The sequence below is a fragment of the Homo sapiens genome, chromosome 2 (assembly GCF_000001405.40).
Source record: "Homo sapiens chromosome 2, GRCh38.p14 Primary Assembly".
Taxonomy (NCBI): domain Eukaryota; kingdom Metazoa; phylum Chordata; class Mammalia; order Primates; family Hominidae; genus Homo; species Homo sapiens.
The window spans coordinates 102,346,753-102,359,222 of record NC_000002.12 but is presented as its reverse complement, the minus strand read 5'-3'; the positions used below and the strand labels follow the sequence as shown (position 1 = coordinate 102,359,222).

The 12,470-nt window shown below is 39.7% G+C and overlaps 2 protein-coding genes across 16 annotated transcripts in view, besides 3 other annotated features; both read right to left on the bottom strand.

Moving 5' to 3' along the window:
• The window catches only part of IL18R1 (interleukin 18 receptor 1), a 42,981-nt gene extending 39,554 nt beyond the window's left edge, over window positions 1-3,427 (bottom strand). For 10 of the 14 annotated variants that reach the window (XR_923054.4, NM_003855.5, XM_024453204.2 and 7 more), the window contains exon 1: window positions 2,823-3,427. The gene's annotated coding sequence lies outside the window, so the exon portion shown is untranslated. The remainder of the gene's footprint in view (window positions 1-2,822) is intronic. The other 4 variants (XM_024453202.2, XM_047446167.1, NM_001371421.1 and 1 more) reach the window with 2 other exon arrangements.
• Window positions 3,157-3,658: an enhancer, noted in NCBI's record as "H3K4me1 hESC enhancer chr2:102972025-102972526 (GRCh37/hg19 assembly coordinates)". NCBI's record gives its function as "activates a minimal SCP1, AML or CMV promoter by ChIP-STARR-seq in naive H9 embryonic stem cells {active_cell/tissue: H9 hESC(naive)}" and the evidence as "EXISTENCE:reporter gene assay evidence [ECO:0000049][PMID:30033119]".
• Window positions 3,373-3,432: a silencer, noted in NCBI's record as "silent region_11831". NCBI's record gives its function as "represses an Ori minimal core promoter by ATAC-STARR-seq in GM12878 lymphoblastoid cells {active_cell/tissue: GM12878}" and the evidence as "EXISTENCE:reporter gene assay evidence [ECO:0000049][PMID:35858748]".
• Window positions 3,453-3,562: a silencer, noted in NCBI's record as "silent region_11830". NCBI's record gives its function as "represses an Ori minimal core promoter by ATAC-STARR-seq in GM12878 lymphoblastoid cells {active_cell/tissue: GM12878}" and the evidence as "EXISTENCE:reporter gene assay evidence [ECO:0000049][PMID:35858748]".
• Window positions 6,867-12,470, bottom strand: part of IL1RL1 (interleukin 1 receptor like 1) — a 40,794-nt gene continuing 35,190 nt past the window's right edge. Inside the window, exons 9-11 of one of the 2 annotated variants that reach the window (XM_006712839.4) lie at window positions 11,132-11,278; window positions 9,977-10,144; window positions 6,867-7,687 (exon numbers count right to left, since the gene is read on the bottom strand). In XM_006712839.4, the coding sequence (XP_006712902.1) occupies window positions 7,302-7,687; window positions 9,977-10,144; window positions 11,132-11,278 (701 nt within the window). In that variant the 3' untranslated portion in view covers window positions 6,867-7,301. The remainder of the gene's footprint in view (window positions 7,688-9,976; window positions 10,145-11,131; window positions 11,279-12,470) is intronic. The other variant, NM_016232.5, reaches the window with a different exon arrangement.

Genomic DNA, 12,470 nt, shown 5'->3' with positions numbered 1-12,470 from the left:
GGGAGTAACTAAACTTACTTTCCTCAAATACCTACTAATTACTTCTCTATTGTTAATTAAATAATCCTGTATTTCCCCTACGGTTTGCTGACACTAGCTTATAATGTACAGGTCCTCCCTGAGCACTCTACTGCAAGTCTAGCACAGCATGCTTTTCCAAATGCAAACATGCACATGCACACACACGCACACACACACACATGCTCACACACACCAATGTTCCTCTACCCTCCCATGTTTAGTTTTTCTATTCATAGCACTTATCACTAACTGTCATATTTTCACTTTATGTCTGCTTGTTTCTTTGTTATTTGCTGAATTATTGAATGAATTACATCCATAAAATATACATAATTTTGAATCTAGGTGATCATCTGATCCATTGGCACATCTGCACAATCTACTTTTGAAATGCTTTTTAACGCATGATATCTTGGAAAGTATGTTTTAGCAACTAATGTGAAGTCTAGGCCACCAGCTCTCACCCAAGTTTGGAAAAAAATAATGATGCCCGGGCTCCACCCAGTGGTCTGGAGGACAGACTGGGCATCTTGAGTCCTCAGAACTCCGCAGGTGACTCTAACATACAGTCAGGAAGAGAGCCGCCGACGTAGGGCACTTATTTGTATTCTCAGGAAAGTACATTTAATACATCTTAAATGCATATATTTGGTGTGTCTAAGACATATTAAATATTTGTGCATGTACATATGTACGTACGTGTGTGTACACACACATAACGAATAGTCACAAACTTACCTAATCACCCAAAGGCATGAAGTTTTCTCTAAATGAAAAAAAAAAGTTTCCTTCAAAAATTGGGTGACCTAGGCTTAAGGTCAGTTCCAAGCTGACCACTCTGTCTCCCAAGGCAGCACAGTAAAAAGCCCTTCCAGAGGGTCCAAACAGTCACCTGAACCCCTGGCTCTGCCCAGTTGCCCTTGTTTATGGGTCCCACCCTGAGAAACTGACCTTTCTCTAAAAGTAATTCACAGAAACACATAATGTACAGGGAAAGAGCCATTTCAAAGCTCTTTCTAATGAGGAACCTGAGATTTGAGGAAGTGAAATGGCCAGCCTCAGATTACAGCTATTCACAAGGACACACATGAATCAATGTAGATGCCTCAATATAAATCACTCATTAGCAACACATACAATCGAGCAACTCCTGAGACAAAATGCCTGGATGAAAATCATAACACCAGTTTTTTTTTAATATAATTTTTCTTCTACAGTGTTCCATGCATAGTCGTTTTACTCAGCCTGTGAGATGATAAAACAACCAAATGCAAAGAGGAGAAAATGATCTTGGGGCATAACATACACACACACACACACGCTTAAACTCTAACAAACAAAATAATTTGTGTGGAATCTGGCTTCTCATCTGTAAGGCCAAGAAAATCAATGCCACCTCATAGTCCTTGTCACACAAGTGTCTGTTGTTAGCCTTATGCTTCCCCCCAAATCTGCCTATGCCTGTGCTACCTGGGCCACCCTCCCCACTTATCCCAGATGCCAGGTCCCTAGAGTCCTTTCAACTTGGCTCAGTATTTGCCTTCTCAAGGAAGCTCTCCAACTGCAACAGCCCCAAATGGCACATGCCTATGTCCAAGCCCGTCTCCATCACTCTGCAGGTGTTTCCATCACTCCTGGACTAGCTCCCACTCTCTGGTGAGGTCCCTGAAGGCAGGGACCCTGCCTTTTCTTTTTTTTCTTTTTTTTTTTTGAGATAGAGTCTCACTCTGTCGCCCAGGCTGGAGTGCAGTGGCACAATCTCTGCTCACTGCAACCTCTGCCTCCCAGGTTCAAGGGATTCTCCTGCCTCAGCCTCCCGAGTAGCTGGGATTACAGATGCATGCCACCATGCCTGGCTAATTTTCTGTATTTTTAGTAGAGACGGGGTTTCACCATGTTAGCCAGGATGGTCTCGATCTCCTGACCTCATGATCCGCCCACCTCAGCCTCCCAAGTGCTGGGATTTAGACCCTGCCTTTTCAATCCACATTCCTAGGCCTTAGCCTTAGTTCTCAGCCTTTGGATGTATATTTGTGCAGGGAGAGGGAAAACACTGTCCCCAGAACCTGCACAAACCCAATTCCCCAAATTTACCCCTCCTAGCCCATCCAAGGCCCTGAGGTTGAGAGGTGTGCTCCCAATAGCAGCACTGTGTATGACACAAAATCAGTATTTGCAAAGGGTCTTGAGAATGAAGCAAGGGAAGTCAGTGAAATGAATACAATAATCTTGGATCTCTGTATCTGGCTGCAATTGACACCTCATTAATTTGTCTGATAACTGCGATGCAAGGTGCTGGGCATTTTAACTTCCCAAGGCTGGGCAGAAAAAAGACAAAGGCTCTGGAATCAGAAAAACTGTAGGTGTGGATCTGGGATCTACTACTTAGTAGCTGGATACTCTTGGGTAAATGACGGAATTCCTCCTCCCTTTTATTAAAGCATAATAATAGTTCCTATTTCATGTGGCCCTTAGGAGGATTAAGTGAAAATAAGATATCTAAAAATTTTCTACAGTGTCAGGCACACAGTAAGCACTTAAAAAATGACAACTATTGTTATCATTTATTTCAGTCGTTCTCACCTCTCCAGAAAATAATTGGGGATGTCTTAATTTCTAAAACTATACTTTCAGAGAAAGACAGGATGCTGTCTCATCAATTATTCACACGTATTCACACACACACTATCTCTCTCTCTCTCTTAATTGATCTTGTTTTGAGAATCCCTCCCCGGATGGTGGTCTTCCCTTCCTCTGGGGGGTGGGGAGGGGATGCGGGTGGCAGCGGAGCCCACCCTTACCTTCAGAGAGGCGTCCCCGAGGCTGGGGCGGGGGCGGCAGCTCCTCCTTCACGCCAGGTCGCGACTGCGGAGGCCAAGTTCAGAAAGTAGGTGAGAAGCAGCGATCTCCGCCTCCTGACTACCGTGGAAAGTGAAAGAGAGGTGTGATTAAAGAGATAAGGCACCCAGAGAGGGCTACAAAAAAAAAAAAAAAGAAGAAGAAGGAAAAAAAGTAGGAACAGAAAGAAGAATGTCAGGCGTCTGGCAGCTCCTGGCTGCTAACCCCGGCCGGTGGAGGCTGCAGGTGGGCACTGCCCGCGGTCGGGCGAAGCTCCGGGTCCGGGAGTGTAGCGGTCTGGGGCGCTCTCAGTCTGGGGCGCTCCCTGGCGTAGAATCCTCCCTGACTCGGAGGTCCCGGTCTGGGGACCCTCCGGTCCGGGTGCTCCTCGCAGCCGTGCTCCAGGACCGGCTCCTCCACCCAGACGCCCCGCGTGGAGTTACCGGAGCTACTGGATCGCGGGGTCCAAAGGTTGCTGCTGGAAAACCCAGCGCCTTGCCCTTTTCCCGCGGACGGCGTGGGCCCCAGGCGTCTGGCGCTTCCTGCCCAGCCGCGCGGCGCGGGTCCCGGGAAAACCCGGGCTGTAGCCGGGTGACCTGCGGGGCCGGAAGGGGGCGCGCCCGGGCCGCTCGCAAGCACCCTGCAGGCCGCGGTTCACAGCAGAGGATGCCAGGAGGGAGGACCGCTGGCCGCAGCGGCCGCCCGGCTCTTCAGAGGAAGAGGAGGGGAGGGCTGAGGGTGGAAGAGGGGTCCCCGGGGGATGCCGAAGGTGAGAGGGGCTCCGCGTCTCAAGTACACAAATGCGCCCCAGGCTTTTTGCTTTCCCAGAAGGATGGGAGTTCACTATAGGGAAGTAATAGAGAGGGGTGCAATTGTTGAAGTTTTAATTTTTTTTAAGGAGGCCAAAGGGGAATGTGTGTTTCTAGATTTTTATTTTGTGGCAGAACTGTTATTTAACCAAAGGAAAAGGGAAACCCATAGCCGACAGGCAAAATGTTCAATTGGACAATGATTTTAATTCTTTTTACCCAATTTAGATAATTCACCACATAATAAATAAAAATATGTAATTATCTCAATAAATGCAAATAAAAGCATCTGGCAAAATTCAACACCCTTTCTGAATTAATAACGATCAGAAAACCGAGAGTAGAAATGATCTTTCTTAATCTGATAAAGAACATCTATAAGAAACCTACAGGTGACCTCATAATAGTGAAACATTTTACTTTTTCCTAAGATTAGTAATGAGATAAGGATTTTGGCTCCCACCTGGGACAACTGCTTTGCAACAAGTGAAGAAATAAAAATAAAATTAGAAAGCATAAAGATTGAGAAGAAAGAATTAAAACTACTGGTTTTAACAGAGAGCATAATTATATGTAGACCAACTTTTGAAATCTACAAAAAAAAAAACTACTGGAAATATTAAGTTTATCAAGATCATGGAATATAAAAATCAATAGCAATTCTATATATTAGAGATGGAAACTTGAAAAGTGAAGTTTGTTAAAAATGCCATTTACCATAGCATTTAAAAATCAAAATACCAAAGTATAAATTCATTGGATAATATATGAGATATCTCCTGTGAAAACTACAAAATATTGCTAACAGAGATGAAACATCTAAGTAATAAAGGGATATACCACGTTTACGGATTGGAAGACTTAAGACATCTATTCTCCACACTGTATATTTTTAGACTCTATATATTACAGAATCTATATATTTAATACAATTCAATCCAAATCCCAGGAAAATTTTTCAAAGAAATTAAGAAGCTGTTTCTAAAATTCATATGAAAATGCAAATAATCTAGGATTGTCCGGACAGAGACGGAGTTTTGCTCTTCTTGCCCAGGCTGGAGTGAGTGCAATGACGCGATCTCGGCTCACTGCAACCTCCGCCTCCCGGGTTCAAGCGATTCTCCTGCCTCAGCCGCCCGAGTAGCTGGGATTACAGGCATGCACTATCACGCCTGGCTACTTTTGTATTTTTAGTAGAGACAGGGTTTCTCCGTGTTGGTCAGGCTGGTTTTGAACTCTCGACCTCAGGTGATCCACCCATTTCAGCCTCCCAAAGTGTTGAAATTACAGGGGTGAGCCACCTGCCCGGCCTGTCTGGGCAATCTTGACAAAGATGAACAAAGTTGAGAGACTTATACTGACTTGAGGATTTATAATAAGGCAATAGTAATTATGGCAATGTGATATTCACAGAAACATACAAACATACAAAATAGAAAGTAGACTAATAGATCCACACATATCTAGTCAATTGATTTTTTTAACAAAGCACCATGTCAATTCAGTGGGGAAAAAACAGTCTTTCACAAACATTGCTGGAACAGCTGGGTACCTCTACAGAAGAAGCAGCAGCAGAAAAAAGAACTTTGTCCTTGCCTTGTTCTATATACAAGTATCAATTCACAATAGACCATGGACCTAAACATAAAAGCTAGAACCGTAAATATTTCATAAAAATACAGAGAAGACCCTTGAACAGGCAAAAAATAAATAAATAAATCATGCTCTTGGACAGGCAAAAAAAAAAAATTCTTAGCTAGGACACAAAAAAAAATAGCCATTTGGGACACATTGATTAATTGGACATCACCAAAATTAAAAATGTCTACTAAACAAAGACATCACTTAAAAATGAATAGATAACCCTGGAAATATTCTCACTTTACATCTATCTGGCAAAGAACTTGCATCCACAATACATAAATAATTCCTACACATCAACAATATAAAAAGAAATACAATTTAAATAAGGCAAAATATTTTGCCTTCACTAAAAAATATATACGAATGGCCAATGAAAACATGAAAAGGGCTCATCATCATGAGTCGGGGAACTTCAAGTTAAGACCATGGTGATCTTCATCTAACACCTGTGAAAATTGTTAAAATATAAAGAAACTTGACAACACCAATTATTGGTGAGGCAATGAAGCAGCAGAGCTCTCATACACAACTGGTGGGAATGTAAAGTAGTACAATTAGTTTGCGAAACAATGTATAAGTTTCTCTGAAAGTTAAATATGCACCTACCCTATGACCACTCTTAAGTGTCAAAATAAAATCATAAGTCCACAAGTATGTTCATAGGAGACTCTGTCTCAAATACATATATATAATATTATATATATAAAATATTCTATATAAAATATATATTATATTATATATAATATTCTATATAAAATATATATTATATTATATATAATATTCTATATAAAATATATGTTATATTATTTATATAGAATACTATATATTATATATAATATTATATTATATTATATATTATAATTATAATAATTATATAATGATTTATATAATAATTATATATAAATATATAATTTATATTTATATAATTTATATAATAATTATATATAAATATATATAATATATAAATTATATTATATATCATATTGTATATAAAATATATAATATTATATATAATATTATATATAAATTTTATATATATAATATATATTATATATAATATTATATATAATATATATTATATATAATATATTTATATATATTATGTATAAGATATATTATATATTAATTATATATAATTAATAATTATGTATAAAATATATATTATATATTAATTATATATAATTGATAATTATGTATAAGATATATTATATATTAATTATATATAATTAATAATTATGTATAAAATATATATTATATATTAATTATATAATTAATAATTATATATAAAATATATATTATATTATATATAAAAATATTATATATAAAATATTATATATTAAATAATATTATTTTTATATGTTATATATTATACATTATTAGATATTCTATATTATATTTTATATAATTATATATAATTATATACACATTTTATATAGAAAATATTATATATAATATTATATATAATATTTTATATATAAAATTATATATAAAATATTATATATAATATTATATATAAAATATTATATATATATATAGAAAATAAAGAAAATCTGGCATGTTGGGAACAAGATTTACAACTGACATTCTGCCTGAGGGAATCAGAATGTTCTTCAAGTGACGTGAAAATCTACTCTCGAATGATTAGTTTGCTATTCAGATTATTGACAAGAATGAGGAGAAACAAAGCAAGACAGAGAGAGAGGAAAAAAGAGTAGTGAAAACATCCCACACCACAGTGAAGACAGGCAAGCAAAAGGGAAAAGGGAAGAAAATGGTGGCTGGAGGATGGTGGAGGATTGAGGAGAAAAATTTCTGGCCATTTTGCATCCACCCAGAAGCAGGGAAATGGAAGGAAAGTTACCAGATGAAACCTGAGGCCTGAATCCCTTTAATATTCCTGCTCCTCACACTTCAGTGCAGGGGCATAAGCCAGCTAGGAGAAGTCAGGAAAGCTTCAAACTCAGATGCCTTTGCACATCACAGCAGGCACTATTGCTTCTGGGCAGCCAAGGGAGTCAAACTAGAGGCCTTTCTGGGAATTTTGCTTGGCACAGGCATTTGGTACCTCACGTGCTTCCAGAATTTAGAATTCAGGGACCTTTTATTGGCAATGTGGTCCTCCCTCCACTTGATGGTCCCCTGTACTTTCATAAGATGCTGGAGGGAGTCCTGAAGCGCCTCAGCCTGCAGCATGTCCAGCTCGCTCAGAGCCTCCATCTCAATAAGTATCACCTTGGCGTCGTTCTGGATGAGGGCACAGTGCAGGGCAACCTCCTGCTCGTAGGCAAACTCCTTATTGTGAGTGATCTGAGGGGTCAGGATGAAAATGTGCCGCCTGCTCTTTCGTATGTTGGTTTCCACTGCAGTGACTACATCTAGTCATACAAGAAATAGATCAGATTTCTTATCAGTCTAATGCTTTAAACATAAACATCCTGAACATTTAAAAGTCTTATTGTTATAATCTGGTGTGAGATTCTCTGACATCAAGTCACTTACTCAGAGAAGTGGAAGTATGTGTGGATAGAGAACCCGTTTTGTTCTTTGTGTTCCTTTCATTTGTGAGAATATCAGCCCCAATGTCCTCTTTTTATTTCCCAGGTAGCTTAGTCTTAACTAAAACAGAGTCCTTCCAAGTAAATGGGAATGTAAAGATATTTAGTCTATTGTTGCATTAGAGACTTAGAATTCTGGTTCATTCTTCTTAGAATACATATTATCTTCTTAGAATATTTGCTTATATGTTTTTCAATGGCTTAAAATTTTAACTCACATATTAAAAATCACAAACTCAGGAAGCTTTGCCCCTCAAAATTGTCCAAAGTCTCTAGGAAAGTAAGTCCTGACTTTACTTCACCCCCATTAATCTCTGTTGTAGAAACTGATTTGATCCAAACTAGAAAAATCTCAAGGGACAATAGATCCCCTTTCCCATTTGGCATTTATACAGCGTAGACACCATGGTGATTCCAATTAGCTCTGGGTGGACTCAGAAAGAACATGAAATACCCAGTCCTCACTGCAACAGGAGAAAGCACAACCGTGAATAAAACAATCCAAGATATTCTCACAGACGGGTGTCTGAGGGATTGCAGATGCATGAGGCAGGCCAGCTGAGAAGAGGTGCTCCCAGAAGGAGAAGCACAGCTGCTCCAGAAGCCCCACGTGGAGAGGCAGGTACATGACCACCCTCTGACCTCCTGCCAGTGCCTCCCATTGGCCAAACCCAGCCTGGAGCAGAGGACAAGGGTGCAATGGATTCCATGATGATCAGCCACCCAGGGCCACTGGATGGAATGGTGGTGCAGAGAGGATTTTGATGGGGCAAATGCAAGGTAAGTTGCATGAGACTATAGACAGTACCTTAGTCAGTCATGAACTTTCCTAAGTGAAGAGTGAAGTTTGGTGTTGTTGGGTTTCATTTATTTTGGTTGAGGAAAGGTCAGAGGACATGCATTGACAGAGGGAAGTAGAAAACCATTCCAGATTAGTATGTTGTCACACATTGAAGGCAGCACAAGCTTGAGTGTGAGAGAGCTAGCATCTGGGTTTGGCTGAGGAGAAGTGTAACTAGAACTTAGGTGGATAGACTGAAAAAGAAGAGGTGAAGAGCTTGTGGCCAGATGTGGCACATTGTTGAGCTCACAAACAACAGGAGTCCCTGCAGGTTCTTGAGTACATTTGTAATATGAAAAGAGTGTTTGAGAGCATTACTCATTACTTCTACCTGCATGGGTGGCCAGTGGGAAAATGGGGGAAGAAGAGAGCCTTGAGAGAAGAAATGCATTAGATTCTCCTAAATTGTATCTTTCACAAGTCTCTTGAGCCGTTATTGAGGCTATTAGCATTCCCAGATATTCCAGGGTAAACCAAAGTCACCTGTTGTTCATACCTTTACATCTATAGGCATGTGAATTCCTCTTCTTAGTAAAATGAGTTTAAAATGTAAAACTGAACATTTACTTTATTATGCTTAGGCCCTTGATAGCTGAGCCCCAGTTATATTCCAAACCCTTCCTGGTCTGTGAGAAATTAGAGAAGAGTTCACAAGGAGGGTCCACAGGTACTGGACATAAATGTATGAAGGGAAGGGAAAAATAACTACTGCAAACACAGGAGTTGTGATAAAACTGTCAAAAGTATATAAAATTGGGTAGGAATATTAAGGAACAGAAGCTATAGTTCTTTTTGTTCTGGTGAGAATATAAATTTGCAAATGTTTCACCAACATAAAGAAAGTCATGAAGACTCTCTGAGTACTTTTAAGGTATTTCAGCTAGTGCCTATGGCTACCAGAACAAAACTCATCAATTTTTAAGTCCTCTTTCAAATCTTATGGACAGAATTAAGAAGTGGCAGAGTTATCCTGGTGGGGGACCAAGGGAATAAAGTAGGGATGATGGTTTGCTAAGTCCTTGAAGCAAAGGACTTCTAACTCTGAATTCACACCACCAACATTACTGTGAAGATCTCATCACCAGGACAATGATGGGAGAGGGGCGATTGAAGGATAAGTGTCTGCTTCTGGATAAATATTTAAAGTTCTGGTCTTAAGGCCTGTGGTAGTAAATGCAATTCATTATCCAATGCAGGGATAAGGCCACCTAGTTCACAGCCTTTAATAAGCATGAATTTCTGTCCCTAATGTATGTCAATAGCTTTACCTTCTCCAGGTAGCATATCTCTCCCATAAATGCATAAGGTATAGCCACATTTATTTTCAAGAACATCAGGCAGAATCTGGTGAACAAAGTGCTCTACACGACTGGCCCCATCTGTACTGGATTTGTAGTTCCGTGGGTAGACAACATAAGCATCATAGAGCTTTCCATCTGAAAATGAAAACAAGAAGTACAACTTCTTACTTGATTCTAAAAATTCTCACTGGACTCTTTGAAGACATTCCTCTCCAAGTTTTATGGCTGTTGGTGAATGTATGTCATCCTCCAAAATATTCTAGACTCAAGAGATGTTGACGTCAAACCACTGCCACAAAACACTATCAGGAAATAACAGTCTTCATCCCAAAGTGTTTCTCCTTTTTACTGTCACAGACTAAATAACAAAAAAGTGGACAAGAACCTGTCCATCTCATCAATTTTGATTAATAATCTATGACTAAGGGGGCCTTCTGTGCTGAATAGACTTTGGTTTCATCTTTGGTTTCCCCATACTCCCCTGGGGAAGTGAAAAAATTTAAAGCTAATAGTAGCAAGGGCATAGAATTTTTTAAGGGATCTGAATTTTCCACAGATCAAACAATGAGCTCCTACTTCAGTCAACTGTTTGAAAAATGCAACATGTATCTGCCTCCAAATGTAAGCATGAAGTTTGCATCTAGCAGGCAGAACTGACTCCTTTCATGCACATGCTTGTGTGCCTGGGTTAGACTTTACAGATCAGGGTTTCAGGTAGAACACACATGCATTCCGATGGACCTTTCTAACCTGCTCACATCTGGAAAACAGGAACAATTTTGCTACTGTGTTTAACTTCATAATGTCTTACCGATACATTATGAAATTTACACCTTTCTGGGCTTGGGGCAGATTCTGTTATTGGGAACTCAGTAGGAATAGCAATCCTATCGGGGAAGAAAAGTGAGCTGTTGAGATGGATCTCAGGACCGTGAGGATTTACATAGCAGGATGGAAAATGGCCTTTAAGAAAATCCAAAAACACAACTCACTGATAACAGATTAGCAAGCAAAATGGAATCTGGGCTTAGCAGCCTAGCTACTGAAAGATTAATAGACAGGTAACCAACAGTTATTATGGGACTTTTTCTTTGGGAGAAAAACTTGGTATTTGCCACTTACCATTCCTAGTCTTGTAAGGTTTAGCTATGTCTCTCCAGAGCAGAGTGGCCTCAATCCAGAACATTTTTAGGATGATAACCAGGACATTGATTAGCATTAAAAATACACTACATACTGCAATTATGCAGTAGATGCTATGATGATCAACTATTCAAAAGAAAGAAAAAGATTATTATTACTACTGAAACAAGATATAATAAACTGATACATGGATGTTGGCTTCCCTTGGGAGTACAAGAATTTCACATAAGATATACCCACTGGGAATTTTCATGGCTGCTTTAAGTACCAGGACAGTCACATTTATTGAGCCTCTACAACACATCAGGCTAAGCATTATAGGGCATTCTCAAAGGCAAAAGAGGCAGAGAGACACTTGTCAACTTAACTAAGATGGGAGGCAAAAGCATGATTTTTGCTGGCAGAGGAGTTTAGAAGGAGAGCTTGCTCCATGCAGGACTGGGAAAGGGAGCCTTCCTGGAGGAGGAGGAGGCCTCTGAAAGATGAGTAGGATTCAGGGAGATGCAAAAAAGGAAATGCCCACCTGGGCAGAGAGAATACCATAAGCCTAAGTGCAGAGAGGAAGTGTGTTTTCTGAGGAAATGGAATAACCCAGTTTGGGGAATTGGTGGAAGATATGATTAGAAAGTTTGGTCAGGGCCAGGTTCTGTCCAGACTTGAAACCCCAACTAAGGCAGATTGCCTTATTCTGAAGGTCACAGGAGCACTGGAGACTTGAGTGGTTTTCCCAAGAGATTAATCTGATGGTAGCAGAAAGTTTGTTTCTGTGGAAAGAAACTATGGGCACTCAGAGAAGAATGGAGTGTGGTACTTGGGTTGCAAGATGCAGAGGGTTGTAACTCATGCAATAATGAGAAAGGAACGGACAAGGTGCTGTCAGGGCATTAAGGAGAAGGCATCAACGGGTCTGAGACACTTGTTGCCTCTAAGGGCTTAGCAGTGTGGGAGGTAGGAGAAGAAGCAAGAGTCACCTAAGTGGCTAAAGCGTCTTTGATAAAGAATTCAAAAGTCAAATTACTAAGTTCTAGGTCCTACTCATAGCCCATACTTCTCTCATGGTGAACATTACTCAACCAACCCAGAAATTTTTCCTAGTACTCCTTGCTTCACAAAATGTAGATGCAACATGCATATGCACTGATGAATGTGAGAAGAATCTCAAATGAGATTTGCTGATACGGTTCTTTTCCGTCTTAAGTCTCCATGCATGGGCTCCCAGTTTTAAGGTAGAAAAATCACTGGCCCATATTCACGAATTCCTCCACAACCTCTAATAGTTTATCAGTTCTCTCAATGACCAGCAGTATGGAATCAAGAA